Source organism: Homo sapiens, chromosome 17 (genome assembly GCF_000001405.40).
Source record: "Homo sapiens chromosome 17, GRCh38.p14 Primary Assembly".
Classification (NCBI taxonomy): Eukaryota; Metazoa; Chordata; class Mammalia; order Primates; family Hominidae; genus Homo; species Homo sapiens.
Window position 1 is genome coordinate 83061411 of NC_000017.11, and position 16823 is coordinate 83078233.

Consider the following 16823-nt stretch of genomic DNA (forward strand, 5'->3'; position numbering starts at 1 on the left):
ATACCTTGAGAGAGAGGGAGATCCCACATTCACATAATTTTTATCACCATAGATTGTTGTAATTGCTGTTTATGATTGGTGATTGTTAATCTCTTACTGTGCCTATTTTACAAATTAAACTTTATCAAAGGGCTGTACATATAGGACAAAACATAGTCTATACAGGGTTCAACACTATCCAAGGTTTCAGGCATCCACTGGAGTGCTTGGAACGCATCCCCCAAGTCATCACCAAACCAGCCAATATCCACAGGGCCTGAAACCTCCCCTTTGGATTCTCTCTTCCATTGGTGGAAATCAGCCGTGTCTCCACTGACAAGTGTCCTTGCACCTCCGTGGGCTCCTGTGTGTGGCCGTCACCTTTCTGGTGTGCAGGGAACTGTCTCACAGCTCCATTAAAGATGAGGAAGGCGCCGATCACTGCAGCACCAGAGAACCCAGGGGTTCGCCTGGCCCCCCACTGAAAGGATGCCCAGAAACCTCCTCACCCATTTTAATGTCTTTCCCACATTTTCCTGATGAAGACTCAGCACAGACGCTCACAGCATCATTGGGCACAACTGGGTCTGGTGGCAGAAGGCCCGGAGGGTGCACGGCCCCCTCCTGAGGCAGGTGTGCGGTGCTGGGGAAAGGCGGAGCACGAGGGCTGAGCTCTGGCCGTGGGACCCACCCAGCAGTCTCCCCTCTGGGGCAGGGAGGGGCAGTGAGAGCGTGGGGAAGGCAGGGAGGGGAGCCCAACGGTCCACCCTGGGAGGAGCCATCAGCCCCCATCCCTCAACCAGGCGTCTCCACAGGCCACCAGGGCCATAAAGGCAGGTAGGACCCACACCTGCTGATGGGGAACTGCACCAGCAGCCACCCAGAAACCCGAGGCCTGTACGGTATTCCGTGCCGGGGAGGGCCAGCACTCAGCCCCCAGCTGCTTCCCTGAACCCCACGGTCTGAGGCTGTGTCAAAGCTTCCCCAGTGTTTCCTGGAAGACGCTCCTCCATGGATCCCTTGCTCCTGCCCATCTTGCTGGGCCAGGAATGCAAACTCCAATGGCTGCCCCGGGGTCGTTTCTCAGGGGGGTGTGCACGGGTGTGTGCACGGTGACCGATGCCTCTCTCTGGGACGAAGAGCTGGCACACTGTCTGCCTGCTGTACAGCAGCGGCTTCCCAGAGCTGAGGGCCTCTCCTGTGGGCAGTCCCCTGTGTGGGCAGCATCTGTCTGAGCCCCCGCACATCGCTGCTGGGGAAGGGGCTTGGGAGCCCACTCAAGGTGCTGACCCTCTGGTTCTGCTTTTGCTGTGAGTGATTAAGATCCTCTATCTCTGACCCCAGCAGTCTGGTGCTTCCTGCCAGCACCCACGAAACAGGCAGGCTTGTTAGCCCGAAAGTAAAATCTCAGGCCCCTGCACAGTTCAGACGGCATCCAGCACAGTTGGGGCTGGGCCCTGCCCTCACGACCGCCAGGGCCTGGGGTACCCTGACCAACTCCTAACTCCCAGGACCTGGCTCTGGGGCCATCTAGCCCAAGTTGTCCTAAGCTACGAAAGGCGATGAGGCAGCCCAGCTTATGAAGCTCTGGCTCATGCACAGACACACTTTACCCCTCCGTGCCTTAGGACTGTCCCCAGCACCTGCCTGTCCTTTTTGCAGGAGATCGTTCTGCTAAGTGGTCTCCAGCTCTGTGTCTCTAAACTGACCTCCTGTTGGGGCAGGGACAGGGTCTTCTTGTCTACTGCCAACTCCCCGTGGCTGGCAGAGTCCAGTGATCACGTGAGCCGGTTACTGCCGCGGCGCCAGGATGAGGCAGCTGGGAACATCCCAAGCAGCAGCTTGAGGAGGGAGAAGTTTCCTTAGGATGGGGTGTGGGAGGGTCTCCGACCAAGCTCCTTGAGAAGCAAGGCCTCAGCCTCTTCACACCCGCAAGGAGGGACGGCAGGCGTAGACTCCAGGGCAGGCTGCGTGTCCGGGCAGTCCCAGCCCTGTTAGCACATGCCCCAGGGCCACACAGCACAGAGACCCCACACAGGGAGGTCTCCCTCCCTGCTCTCCCCCTCACCCTGGCCCCTAAAGTCCTGCTGTTTATTTGGTTGGTTCTGGAAGGAGCGCCATGGCTGCGTAGCTTTGCTGTGCACCGTGCAGGGCGGCGGCCAGCACAGCTTGGTGCCCAGGAACTGCTGACGGACCGAAGGAGGAGCGCCTGAGACAGTGCCAGCGAATAGGCCCCTGCAGCAAACATTACGACTGCGCTTACACCTACATCTAGTTAGATACGGATTCTATTACTGAAGTAACTCAAACTTTCCAAAATGCTTAAGTGAATTTCACAGGTGGGTGTGGAATTGCCAAACGCCAGGTGTACACTGCTGGTTTGGATTATCTGGTCATTTTGATCTGTGAAGTCAGGTAATATTCAGGCCCTCCCAGAGTTTCCATTGTCCTGTTCTATGGTCAAGGCGGGGCTGCAAACCAACCACGCCCCCTCCCCGCATCCCCGGATGCCTGTGGGGGCTGCAGAGTGATCGAAATGTCAGGTAATTCCACAAAAATCCACATTTGGATTTCGGGCTTCTCTTGGAACTGACCATCTGTAACTCCGGCTCACGCTGTCCTGCCGGCACCTGGCTGGGGCTCAGCGGGAGCTGTTCTCTCACTCCTTCCCAAGCCCCGTTGTCCCCCTGGACAAATGGGTGGAATTCTATTAAGGCTGTGAACTTAAGAGAGCTCCGGAGCTGAGAGAGGTGCCGGCCGTGCCGCTGGTGCCTTTGAGAAGCTCCTGGCTGCCGTCCATCCAGGCCTGGCCTCAGACCTGGATCCCTGTTCACCCTGGGAGTGGCCCACCTGTGGAGGGAGGTGCTCCCCACCACAGCCCCCAGCCCTGCAGCCCCTGCACCATCTGTCCCCAGGGCAGCTGCCTCTGCAGCCAGGTCCAGGCCTGGGGAGCTGGAGGGCACCAAGCGGACCGCAGGTGAGGGGCCCGCAGGTCAGCACAGGTGGGTCAGGTCCTAGCCCGCTTGTCATACAGGTCATATGGGACTTAGCCTACTTTCCCTTCTGTTTAATATCTGCACCCCTGAATAGTGCAAATGCCCAGAGGGAGGGATCGGAGGCTGGGAGATCCATGGGGGATTCAGGGGGCAGCTTGGGGGACAACCGTTGCAGCCGTGCCCTGATGTCAGACACAAGGATACCACTAGGCCCTCGCCCAGGCGTCCAGAGAGAAAAGTCAGCTGGCGGCAAAGGCCTTGTTCTCAGGGCCACATGCTGATATTTTAACCAGTTCTAGCTCACCTTGGAAATGCTGATGCCAGCAGGACGACACCAGGTACAGGGTGCAGGTGGGTGCTGGACCCCCCAGGTGGCAAATGAAAGCGCCTGCGGGGGACTCGGTCAGAGGGAGCCTCACAGAACGTTCTGGGCTAAATCTGGTCATCAGACTCGGGGCTGGCGTCTTCCCGACACGTGAATTTGGAGGGTGTGTGAGTCAGGATTCCTGGCTGAACTGGTTTGCACTGGTTTGAAGTCAGGCAGGTTGGCTGGTTGCCCGTGTCACAGGAAGGTGGACAGGACATAGGTGCCGCTGTCAGGAACAAAGCCCCAGCCTCTGCCTGTGACGCCCCTCTGAGGGGGCATGGGTCTCCCTCCCCCGGAGGCCCGGACAGCGGCCAGGAGCAACTGAGCTTCCTGCCAACCTGGTGACCCCAAAGGTCGGAGGGTGAACTCCCTCCAGCTTCAGCAGAACCAGTGTTGATCAACTCATCCCAGTTGGCCTGGAACTCAGAACCGATGTTGATCAACTCATCCCAGTCGGCCTGGGACTTTCCTGATGTTAGCAGGGAGGGTTCTGAGTCCCAAGAAGCGCTCAGTCCCCAGCATGCCCTGCGCGTCGGTCACGGAGCCCCAGGAGGAGCGTGCAGCCCGCAGCCTGGGCCTGGGCACAGCCGGCTTTATCAGCAGCTCCATCCCAGCCCCACAGACAGGGGAAGAAAAGGTTGGGGGCTGGGCAGACAAGACCATCCAGGGCCCCGGCTGGTCACCCAGGCTGAAACGGAACACATCTGTTTCTCTACACTCTAAACACTTTGCACCAAATGTGCGGGATTTTCACACCAAGCAACTTTCCAGTTCTCAGTGGACACCAACGGGGTGTCCCACGATTCAGTTCGACTCTCACACTACCTGCAGGTAGCGCAGACCCCGCAGGCTGGGGCTCCGTCCCACAAGCTGCCCCTCTGCAGGCGACCGTCCCAAGTATCGGGTGCCCAGGGTTCACACGCCTCCGTCTGACTTGGCTACAAAGTTGGGGGTTGCCACGACTCCTCCCCAGGCTTGATAATTTGCTCTAAGTCTCACAGGACTCAGGGAAAAACTCATTTACGTTCACTGATTCACTATAAAAGATGTAATAAAGGATACAGATGGACAACCAGATAACAAGGTGCACAGGGCGGGGTCCAGGAAGGACCCAAGTGCAGGAGTTTCTGTCCACCCCCCACACTCCCATGCGTTCCCCAGTCCAGAAGCTCCCGGATTCTATCTGTTAAAGGGTTTAATGGAAGCCGGCAGGCATGACCAATGGATCGTTATTCAATCTCAGCCCTTCTCCCCTCCCTGGAGGCCGGTGGGACTGAAAGTTCCAAGCTTCTAATTGATGTTTGGTCTTCCCGGTGAGCGTACCCCATCCTGAAGCTGTCTAGGGGCCCCCAAGAGTCACCTCCTTGAACAAAAAAACGCTCCTAGCACCCAGGAAATACCAAGCGATTTCGGAGCTGGTGTGGGGAACCAGGGCAGAGGCCAAATGTATATTTCTTATTCTGTTACCTGGTGCCTGGAGGCCCTGGCCACTTTCGGGTTGGCCGACCTTCGGGAAGTTTCCTGGTCCCGAACGTCTCGGGTCACTGTGGGGTAACGAGGCTCTCGGACCCTCGCCATCTGTCATCGTCATCGCCGCCGCAGGCTGGCCTTCCCTGAAGAGCTCCAGATCGCAGACACCGTGCCGTGCCCGCCACGCAGATGCAGTTTCCACTCAGCCCCACAGTGCGGGCTTCCTGGGCCCGTGTCCGGCTGGAGGAGCACCCCGGGTCCGAGCCAGCCATCCCCTCAAGAGTCCTGCGCCCTGGAGGACACCCCAAATGCCACCCCTGCTGTTACCTCCTGCAGGTTTCAGGATACTCTTACGTCGTTCTCTGTGTTCATCCGCATTTTCTGTCATGAAAGTGAATTTCTTTTGTCATAAGAAACTGTGTTTCTCAGCCTCAGGCTGCCTCACCGGGCTTCACCATGGGCGCGGCTGCCCGCCCCCTGCACACTCACTGTGCGTCCTGGAGGGACAGTGCGTGTTCTCACCCGGGGCCACGGCTTCACCCTGGGCACGGCTGCCCGCCCTCTGCACCCTCACCCTGAGTCCTGGAGGGACAGTGCGTGTTCTCACCCGGGGCCACGGCTTCACCCTGGGCACGGCTGCCCGCCCCCTGCACACTCACTGTGCGTCCTGGAGGGACAGTGCGTGTTCTCACCCGGGGCCACAGCTTCACCCTGGGCACGGCTGCCCGCCCTCTGCACCCTCACCCTGAGTCCTGGAGGGACAGTGCGTGTTCTCACCCGGGGCCACGGCTTCACCCTGGGCACGGCTGCCCGCCCTCTGCACCCTCACCCTGAGTCCTGGAGGGACGGTGCATGTTCTTACCTGGGGCCACGCAGGGCCTCTCAGGGAAGGCTGTGGCAAGACAGACACTCTTCTCAAGGCAGGTCTGGGTGCCTGGGGACTACCCCCTAGGGACCCGAGAGACCCGCTGGGTAGGATCCGGCCCCCTGTCTGCCGCGCGGCCTCCGGGAGAGAGCTGGCCTCTCCGCGTCTGTTTTCTGCCTGTGAAGGAGGCGATGGTGAAGATACCAGCTGTGGGTTTCAAGGGGAGGTGACACCTGCGCTCTGGTGGCCATGGTGTGGACACGGACCCATTGTCTGTTTCCTTTGCGGGATTCCACGCTGGGCTCCTGTTGGCAAGAGGAAGGTCCTGAGGAACTGCGGGGGGAGGCTCGGCCTCGCCTGCCCAGGTGGTGTGGGTGCCTGCGCCTGGGGGAGAGCCTGGGGTTCTCTCGGGACCCGCCTCTCCTCCCAAGGCCATTTCCATGCACTGGACACTGCAGGCCCTGAGGCATCAGGTCTCGCTGGCTTTGCTGGCCGTCCGGAGCTCTGGCCTAGGTGCGGAGTCCTGGGGGTCCTGGGGAACCCACCTGAAGCCCCCCCTCGTGGCCCCTGTGGCAACACTGACCGGGCCTGACCTGTCCCCTCGTGTCACACTGACCGGGCCTGACCTGTCCCCTTGTGTCACACTCATCTTACACTGTGCTTTATCTTGTTACCCTGCAGGCATTCACCTCAACCCCTCCCGTCCCCTCTGGGATGAGCCGGGCCACAGATAAAGGCCTCTTAGCGGAGCTACGAAAAGGATCACTTTAGCCCTTCTGGGAAGGAGGGATTTAGGTTAAGTCAGCTCAGCTTAGATTCCAAAAGACTAGGACGGTCAGCCCAGGACCCAGGCATTTGGGTGACACAAGTGCTTTCCGGCCGGGAGAGCCACAGGCTGTGCAGGGAAAACTCAGTTGCTTTTGCTTTCTGAAGTTCAGGGCTTCCAGCTGGACGTTTTTGGAAGTGCGGGAAACACATGAGGTTTCGCTAAAGGAATGAAGCCTGAGCCTCCACGGGGATGAGAATGACCCAAGAACCTCCCGAAATCCCACCTGCAGGAGGCGACAGCGGGGGCGACAGCGGGGGTCCCGGGAGGCGACAGCGGGGGGCGGCAGCGGGGGTCCCGGGAGGCGACAGCGGGGGCGGCAGCGGGGGTCCCGGGAGGCGACAGCGGGGGTGACAACGGGGGTCCCGGGAGGCGACAGCGGCGGTGACAACGGGGGTCCCGGGAGGCGACAGCGGGGGCGGCAACGGGGGTCCCGGGAGGCGACAGCGGCGGTGACAACGGGGGTCCCGGGAGGCGACAGCGGCGGTGACAACGGGGGTCCCGGGAGGCGACAGCGGGGGCGGCAACGGGGGTCCCGGGAGGCGACAGCGGGGGTGACAACGGGGGTCCCGGGAGGCGACAGCGGCGGTGACAACGGGGGTCCCGGGAGGCGACAGCGGGGGCGGCAACGGGGGTCCCGGGAGGCGACAGCGGGGGTGACAACGGGGGTCCCGGGAGGCGACAGCGGCGGTGACAACGGGGGTCCCGGGAGGCGACAGCGGGGGCGACAGCGGGGGTCCCGGGAGGCGACAGCGGGGGCGGCAGCGGGGGTCCCGGGAGGCGACAGCGGGGGGCGACAATGGGGGTCCCGGGAGGCGACAGCGGGGGGCGACAATGGGGGTCCCGGGAGGCGACAGCGGGGGGCGACAACGGGGGTCCCGGGAGGCGACAGCGGGGGCGACAATGGGGGTCCCGGGAGGCGACAGCGGGGGGCGGCAGCGGGGGTCCCGGGAGGCGACAGCGGGGGCGACAATGGGGGTGTCCTCCCAGGGTGGGATCCGTGGGGGTTGCAGGTTGGAACTCGGGTGCTCCCCCCATGGCACGCGGGCCCAGTAAGCCCAGCCGTGGGGGCTGCCGTGGTGGAAATCGCATCTGCATGTGAGGACAGCAGGACCCAGCACCTTCCCGCGGTGACCCCAAGAGGCAGGGCTGGCGGCCGCCCTGCCAGAGTCCCCCTCCGGACCTAGAGGAGGCATCTCCCTAATTTCACCTTTTTCAGTAGAAAAACATCCCCGAGGTTCACCTAAAACCCCAATTTTTCAGGAAATGGTTGAGGCTGCTTATCATTTGTGGAAATCACGTGTGCACAAGTAGAGAGAATGCAGCGGGGTGGGGACAAAATGAAACCCAGAGAACTTGGCAGGTCCGCACACAGGCCTGACCCCTGTGCTCCTAGGGGTGCCCGGGATGGGTGCCGTCGTCAGCCCCATGACGAGGGTGACTGGGTCAGGTGTCAACCCCCACGGGCAGGGCTCTGTGCCCACCACCCCATGCTGTCGGAGCAGCCCGAAGGTGGCCAGCGCTGAACATGGGGTCCCACCCCATCCTCTCTGAGAGCCGGGCTGGGCCGGGTGGGGGCTGGCAGGGTCTGGCTGTTCTCAAACAGGTCCTTTCTCAGAAGGTGCTAGAAACTGTGTCCCTCACCAAAAGCTAACATGGGTGCCAGAGCTGGGACAAGGGCCAGTCCTTCCCCAACCTGCTGGGTCTCCCACACGCTTCCACATGCTCCCACACACTTCCACATGCTCCCACACGCTCCCACATGCGCACACACGCTCCCACACGCTCATACATGCTCCCACATGCACACACATGCTCCCACATGCTCATACATGCTCCCACATGCTTCCACATGCTCCCACACGCTCATACACGCTCACATATGCCTGTCATGCCCCTTTGTCCAGCGGCTTCTCATCCCTCTTCCAAGCCAGGGAAGGAGGGTCAGGGGCTGTAGTTGCCCCTGTAGTTGTCAGGCTGTGGGCACAGAACCTGCCAGGAGGGGTCTACCCTGAAGTGGACGGGGCCCATGTGGTGGGAGCCGCAGGATGTGAGAGGCAGACACCCAGTGCCGAGGTGAGCCACGTGGGATGCCTCCCGTGAGGACGCTCCAGCCCTGATCCTTCCGGGTCCCCACTGCTGCATGACAGCCTTTGCTGGTGCACAAGCTCACAGCCCCCGTGTGTGCAGGGCTGGGAGGGAGCGTGCTGGGCCCAAAGGTGGCCGGGACAGTCTGCCTCAGGGCTGTGGTCAGGGGCACGGGCTGGGACTGCCCCACTGCGGAGGCTTCTGGCGGACGGGGCGCGGGGAGTGGACGGGACAGGGACGGCTCCCCCCAGCCCAGCCGGTCAGCGCGGGCCTGACCTCCACTTTGAGCGGCGGCTTGGCCTCTGGCCTCTCAGGGTCCCTGCTGAGCTGTGCTGATGACTCCTCATTCGCAGGGGGGGAGGCTGTGGGGCCTTGGGGGCCTGAGACACCTAGAAAGGGTCAGGAGGGGACCACGGGGTGGGCAGGGCTGGGAGGTGGCCCAGCAAGCAGCCTGGGGACATTCAGATGCTGGTCACTCAGGGAGCTGGCAGCCGCTCTGCCTGCCCCTCACTGGACTTGAAAGCAGTGAGAACAGACGATGCCCAAAGACGCCCACAAAAGCGCTTCCTGTTGACATCAACACACTCTTAGGCCTTTCTCCTCCGCGCCCTCCAAGGCCGGCATCGCCCAGGCGACCACTGGACCACGAAAAATAAAGTCATGCCCCCCAGCCCCCACTCTGCCACTCATTATTTTCCTGTTGCCTTGTAGTGGACTCAGCTATGGTTTGTTTTTTGAAATTGAGTTTGAAATCCAGATCCTGCCCCACAGGCACTGGCGCCAGAGTCGCGGCTGCTGACCAGAGCTCTGCAGAGTTTTTGCTGGAAATTAGAGTCAAAATGGAACCACTGTGGGCCAAATCCCATGCAGGGCTCTACACACATGCACACATGCTCAGAGGCATGCACACATACACATGAGCACACACACACAATGCACACTCGAGCGCACACACGTGCACACAGGCATGCACACATACACATGAGCACGCACACGCTCACAATGCACACTCGAGCACACGCACACGTGCACACAGGCATGCACACATACACATGAGCGCACACACACAATGCACACTCGAGCACGCATGCACATACACACGTGCACACACGACGCCCAGGGAGTCTCAGGGAGCCTGTACCAGCCCTTGGACAGGGCCAGGAAGTCAAAGGGGAAATCCCTCTTTTCTTTTTTCTCTCAGAAACCCCGAACAACAGACTTTGTCAATAAGCATATTCACTTTTGTACTTAAAAAGTATGTTTTTAAACATTTTAATTAGCTCTCTAGACTCAAATAATCATCTTCTTCACCTTGTTTTCTCTGTGACACGCAAAAGGCTGGCAGGCAGGAGGCTTCTCAGAGTCAGGAGGGCTGGGGGGGAAGGTGCTGTCCACCAACATGTTCTGGACAGGACGCAGACACCAGGCGCCCCACGGCCCTTCATGCTCCGGAGGGTAGAACAGAGCCAGAGGGTGGTGAGGAAGGGGCAGATCCTGGTGGCTGCAGCCACTGCTGTGAGGGGACGGGGACAGGGCTGCTGAGGTCGAGGCAGGGAGTGGGGAGGCCGGAATGGGAGGCCCATGCTCCAAAGTACATAGGAAGCTGGAGCTTCCCTCCCACTGAGCTGGGCCATGAACCTGCCCACGACTCTGTGGGGTTGGCACCATGAAGTCGCTCTCAGATGGGGAGCTGGAGGGTTGATCGCCACCAAGTCACGCAGTTTAGCAGTGGGCACTCCTCGAGCCAACCTGCACCACCTCACTAAGCCCAGCATGGGCTCCCAGTGCCCCTCGGCCCACCTCCCTATCAGCCACGCCCTGGGCCTGGCCCCCTGAGAGGCCCCATGAGGCTGCAGTTGTTTTCTGGGTAAACTGTGTCCCCCCCCATCATTCATAACAATCTCTCTCTCTGTCTCCTTCCCTCTCTTCTTCCCTCCATCTTTCCTCCCTCCCTTCCTCCTTCCTTTTTTCTTTTTTTTCCTTTTTAAATAATTTGTTTTCTCATCATAATAGCAATACCTAGTCATTGTAGAAAAATTGGGGACGATTAAAATTCCACCGTGGAGTCGAGGGGAGACTTCCCCTGGCTCCTGTCACTGTTGCCACACTGCATATAAAGATCTGTGGTTTTGTTTCTTCAGTTCACGTGACCTCATCGCTTTACTCTCTCACTGGAGTCCCTTGTGAGCCTGGTGACAGCAGCCTCATGACCCCAAGCTCTTCCACGTGGGGTCAGGCTGCCCCCAGCCTCCTGCCCTGACTCCTGCTGGGTTGGGTCTCCTTGCACCCCCACACAGTGCACAGTGCCAGCTGCTCCTTTTCCTCACCCTTGCTTGAACAGTTGTGCACGCATGTAGGTCACCTCTTCCAGGCAGCCCTACAGGAGTGCACCCCACCAACACTGACAACCCCCCAGACAGTGCTTAAAGACTGAAACTGCCAGCTAGGATTTGGGGAGGGGTCCCTGCCTCTGTGGGTCCTGTCTGGCTCTGGCCCAGGCTGACAAGGAGGAGCATCTATGCGGGGAGCTGGTGCGGTGCGGGGCATGGTGGGGTGTGGGGGCTGGAGGGTGTGGGGCGGGGGCGGAGGGGGCTCAGTCATCTTTCATGAGCCTGAACTGAGGCCCAGGACGCACAGTCCACCATCCTGGGTCTGGACAGCGGGTCCCTCTGGGCCGTCTCACTTCCGCAAGCTTCAGCGGAGGCACAGCTCTGGCATTGGGGCTGCAGGGACCTCCTGGCACCACTGGGAGTAGAGTGGAGCCCCGGCACAGGCCTGGCCACCTCTCCAGGAGAAGGCACATGGGTCCTCAGGTCCCTGTTGGGACAGCTGGCGCCAAGGCTGGGCCCGCACGTTGCAGCAGGCAGGGTTGGGGTAGGGTGCTCAGCACCTGCCGTGTGGACGGGAGGGACCCCTCCACTCCCGAGGAGAAAGCCCACCAGCTGGCCTCGCTCCTGCCTGCCTGGAGGGGCTTCTGGAGGGAGTGTTTCCTCCGCCGAGTCCAGGCAGGCATGGCTGGAGGAAGAGCGTGAAGCCAGCATCCCTGGGTGACCCTGTGCACTCCAGCTTGGCTGGATTTGGGGAGGCACACCCAGGCCCTGCCCCACCCCCGCCTTCACTTGCTCGGGCCCCACCCCGCTGGGCCCCTATCTACTCGACACTGTGGGGGTCCAGTTCTCTCTCCAAGATCGGCCAAGTCCACGTGACCTGGCCCCCGGACGCTCCCTGCACGCCCAGCCCCACCGACACCCTTCCCCAAACCCTGGAGCCTGGGGACGCAGTGGGGTGTCTTGGCACACAGGTGACTCGGGAGACAGATCCCCTGACCCTGCCTGCCAGTGTGCCTGCCCACTGTCCGCTGAGCTGGGTGTCGCCTGCTTCTCCTCGTTCTGGGTGGGACCGTCTGTCCAAATGGCTGTCAAGGCCTTCTTCACTATCTCAGCGTGGGCAGAAAGGGACGGACATGTGAGACAGCTGCCCTGTGCCTCCAGCGCCCCCGCATCCCACGCACGCTCCACAGCCAGAGCTCTCAGCCCCTCCAGCTGGGGGCAGCTCTGGGCTACCCGGCCTCTTTTCAGGGGCAGGACAGCCGGGCTAATTACCTGCATGGGAGGGCCCCACTGGACAGGCTCCTGGTGAGGGTGTCTACCGCCACCCCCGCCTGCCTGGGCTGAGTCATCCAGGCGCAGCGTCGATGTGGGGAGGGCCTGTCCCTGGGGCTGTCCGTGGAGACTCGCCCTGTGGACTGGAGGAGGAGGCAGAACCCCGCCCGGCGGGGCAGGTCCTGGTGGTGACTGCGCCGACCACGGTCCCGCCCTTCCCCACGCGCTGGGCAGCTGCCCAGCCCGGTCCAGGTTAGGTGCCCCAGCATCTGGACGTCCACCCTCCCCGGGACACCCAGCCCAGTGGGGTATGGGAGGAGAGAGCTCTGTCTGCCCTCAGCTTCCTGCAGTGTGGCTACTCCAGCCCATCTGACCCTGGGCGGTCCCCGGTTCCCGGCTTAACAGATGTTGACAAGGCCTTGCCTCCTTCGGGGTGGTGCCAGGGGCAGAGGGGCACAGCAAGAACAGGGCACAGCCCCTCGCACACCCCCACGTGCCTCCGCTGTCGGCAGGCCCCACTGGGGTCTGGGAGATGCCTTCCTGTAGCATGAAACCAAAGGCCACAGAAGCAGAGAAAAAAAGCTCTTCGTTTCGATTATAAACTTGCAAGAAAAAAGGAGCCCAAACTGTTCAGTGAGACACGCCGACCGATCTGAGCCCACGAGGAGCCCCAGGCAGCAGAGCCCCCTCTTTCTGTTTATTCTAGAGGGTGGCCAAGGTGGCCCTGGGAGAGGTGCCTTCCAGAATTCAGATGCCAGTGGGGCGGGCTGCCAGGAGGGCCACGGAGCGGGGCTCTGGTCTCTGATGCCAACCAGTGAACCCTGGGAGGGACCACCCTGTGCCCTGCCCAGCCTGTCAGAGGGGGCCCAGCCCGGTGATGAGCAGTCAAGTGTGGGGCCCACGGGGAACAAGGCGGCGTGCATTTACTCTATGGAGGGGCACCGTCTCCACACGGCAAGCTGGGTGTGCCGACGGCGCTGGATGGCACCATACGTTGTCCCCGTTGAGGGGTGACTCCTGCTCCCATGATTAGGGCCAAAGGGTCACAACCTCTGCAGCTCCCACGTGGCTCAGGGGAAATGCCAAAACAGAGGAACAGCCCTCGGCCGCAGCCGGGGGATGCGTGGGTGCCCTGCACACTGGCCTTCAACGTTTGTGAGTTTCAGGCCTTCGGTAGTTGGCATATGGGACACTCCCTCTCCCCGCAGGCCGTGGGGATACCGGCTCCTTCCGAGGCGTTTCTGCCGTGAGCGTCCTCCAGAACGAGTGGGCTGAGGCCCTCGGCTGACGTCCTGGGTGACCGCAGACCTGCTGTGTGTGGCCGGCCGGCCGGACCTTAGCACGTCATCACTGGGCTCACGGTCCTGCCCCTGAGCACATCTGACCGGCCGTGGTCAGGGTCCACGCAGACGTCCACCTCTGTGTACAAATCCACCGTGTACTGTAGATGGCCCCTCCTGACACCACCCCGCGGAGGCCGAGGACCCTCCTTCCCTGTGGGGTCTGAGTGCCCGAGATGGCAGAGTCACTACAGCTCACCAGCCCTGGGGCCATGGTCGGTTCATGGCCGGGCGGAGGGTGAGATGCTGCCATGAACAGCTGCTACAAACAACTGCTAGGACGGTGTGGGGCCAGCGTGCCACACAGAACTGTCTCTCACTGCCGAGCTGGCGGCTGGTGGCCTCTCTCCACCTGGCCAACCTGGGGGCAAGCACCACCCAAGGTCACATAGCCGGCCAGCATCGGCCTGGACTTGTATCTGACTCAAGGAAACTCCCTACTCCCACTTTTCTCTGACGCACAGAGAGCAGCACATGGCAGCAAATTAGGTTAAGGAGGGGGTTAGGGAAGAATGACACACTGAAGGTCATCAGGTGGAGGCTGGCTGGCATCCGTGGCTGTTTCGTGTAGTAATTACACGTTGCTCATTGAAGTTGAGTTACAAGCACAGGCTCTCCATGTATCATTCAACCACAATTACGATAATTACGAGAAGGTTGGCGAAAATGGCCTGGGAGGGAAACGGGTGGCAAATGACTTGGGAGGTGGTGGTTGGGCGGGGCCGTGGGATGAACTGTGCTCACGTGAACGACAGACTGCGACGTTCTTCAGTATTTTTCAAATGCTGAAAGAGAAAATTTCATGGACGCGCTTGGGGAAACCGTGTGATGTTTTTCTGGAGGAATCCAGCTACTCTGGGAGGAGCTGTTTCTTTAGTGAGTGGATTCAGGTGACTGGTCATCTTGGGCAGCACATTGGCCGTCAACACACATTTGAAAACCTCAAGACTGGGCCAAAAATAAAAGCAGTAAAGTCCACCGGGTTGTGCCAGTGGCTCAGAGAACTCGCAGCTGTGGGGAGCACGGCGGGAGGGGTTCCCCCCACCCAGCCCCATGAGGGCCCCAAGGCCTGATGACAGCCCGGTGGTGCCTTGAACAGGTGAGAATCAGCCCCCACCTGGGGACGTGGCGTTGAATCCTGACATCGTAAACCCTACGACGCCCTGGGAATCAAGAACAGATCCACTTTGCAGGTAACTGAGGCTCAGAAACAGACTCCAACCCCACCATGTCTGTGACCCAGAGCTGGGGGCTGACGTCCGAGCCAGGTCCGTCCACCACCCCACAGGGCCTGTAGGCACCCGGCATAGGAAAGGCCGAGAAAGGGGTCCAGTCCCACAGCCCTCCACCCCAGCAAATTCCCAGGTGCTGGGTCCCTGCAATGCACGCGATAAAAACTCCCGGGTCAAATACACAGAGGTGACCCTGCCGAGGTCACTCGATCCTAACAGTGGGTCGTGGTCCTCGGACATGGGAGGCCACGTCCTGCTTTCTGAGGCCTCAGACCCTGGTGAGGCACAGAAGGACTGTCCAGGGTGCACCCAGAATTTTTTTCACGGACGTCTGCCCAGGAGGCTTCTGAGAGCTGTTTCTCGAGGGAATGGATAGATGAGGAAAGAGAGAGGGTTGATGTAGACCTACGGTTGGGCCACAGGCCCCCCTGGCCCAGGTCCCTTAGCTGCCATCTCCCAGGATGCAGAAGCATCACTGCAGGGCCCGCCGGTAGAGGGAATGGGCAGGCGTGATCCTGGTGGGTTCTGGAGCTCTCCGATTCCACGGCTCAGCCTCAACGTTCCGACTCAGGTAGGAAGTATCAGAGCTTCACGCAAAGCTGCGAAGACCAGCTCCTTCCCACGAGTGGGTGGGTGGGATGATGCTGTGGCCCCTTCCTGGGTCTAACCCCGTGACATGCTCACTGGGAAGCAGTCCCTTCCCAGACATCCAGGGACAAACACACCCAAGGCCCTTTCCTTGCAGACCCTCCCAGAGGACCAGGGGGAGGGCCACACACCATGACCAGCTGGGATCCTTTTGGTTCATAATCGGCCTCTCGGGGTCTGGTGGTACAAGGGGCAGTGTACCAGTGGCTGGGAACACCCCCAGACAGCCTTGACCACCTCAGCCTGCATCCTCTAGGAGCCTGATACCTCCTGACACCAGGAACCCCGTCTACAGGGGACGTCTCACCTGTAGGTGGCCTCGCTGGGCCAGGACAGGGGTCAGCAGAGGTGCCCAGGAGCACCCAATGTCTCTGGGGCATGAACCTCCTCAAGGGAACAGCTTGGGGAACCACAGCCCCAGGGTGGAAAGGGCCAGGCTCCTTTCCCAAGACAGATTAGCTTCTTCCGAGAATACTGGCCAGCAAGCATTCTTACTCTAGTTTTGTTTTGTTTTAATTAGCAGACTTAATGTTTTAGGTTTACAGAAACACCAAGCAGATGGTAGAGGTCCCCCACACACCCTCTCCCTGACCCAGTTTCTCTTATGATTACCTTCTCTCATTAGGGTGTAGGCGTGTGACAGTCAAAGAACCAATATTGATCCGTTATTATTACAAATGTCTCAAGCCTCCATCAGGATTCACTCTTGTGCTGTATTTTCTACGGGTTTTGAAAAGTACACGTGGGTCCCATACTCACCATCGTACGATCCCAGTCTTAGGACAGCCCGCTGGGCACAGGAGGCTGGGCATCCTGCCAGGTGGCAGATCTCTGCCCCAGCCTAGGCTGGAACCAGCTGCCTGCTGACCAGAGGCGGCCTCTCCCCTTCGGTCTAGCAGCCACCAGGGGCTCTGAGACCCTGAGCAGGTCACGGCAGGTCCTGAGTTCCCCATGTCCGCATCTATAACTCAAGAGATCCCAGCACTGCCCTGCCTCTTCCGTGGTGTGATGATCTGGACCCTGATAGGCCATGTGGCCCTTCAAGGGTGGACCGGGCCTGGGGGGGCTGCTATCTTATGCTTGGTGGGCATGGAAAGCAGTTGCTGCGCACAGGTGTGAAGCCGCAGGTCCCTTTCCACAGCAGGTCCCTTTCCACAGCAGGTCCCTTTCCACTGGGCACCCTGGTACCTGCAGTGATGGGGGTGGGGGGAGGTGCACTCCTAGAGCAGACGGGGGTGGGTGGGGCAGTCTCCAAGCTCCGAAATGCACCTCCACCAGACCTTGAGCCTCAGGGTGATGTCACTTGATGTGCTGGGCAAGGTCCTGGCTCCAGGCTTTCGATGGGGTGGGTGCTCTGAACAGATCCTTACAATGAAACTACCTTCAGTGGTCACTGTCATCGCCTTCCAG

The 16823-nt window shown here is 60.5% G+C and overlaps 1 annotated feature.

Annotated features, from left to right (window-relative positions):
* Positions 8230 to 8782: an enhancer, noted in NCBI's record as "H3K4me1 hESC enhancer chr17:81027516-81028068 (GRCh37/hg19 assembly coordinates)". NCBI's record gives its function as "activates a minimal SCP1, AML or CMV promoter by ChIP-STARR-seq in primed H9 embryonic stem cells {active_cell/tissue: H9 hESC(primed)}" and the evidence as "EXISTENCE:reporter gene assay evidence [ECO:0000049][PMID:30033119]".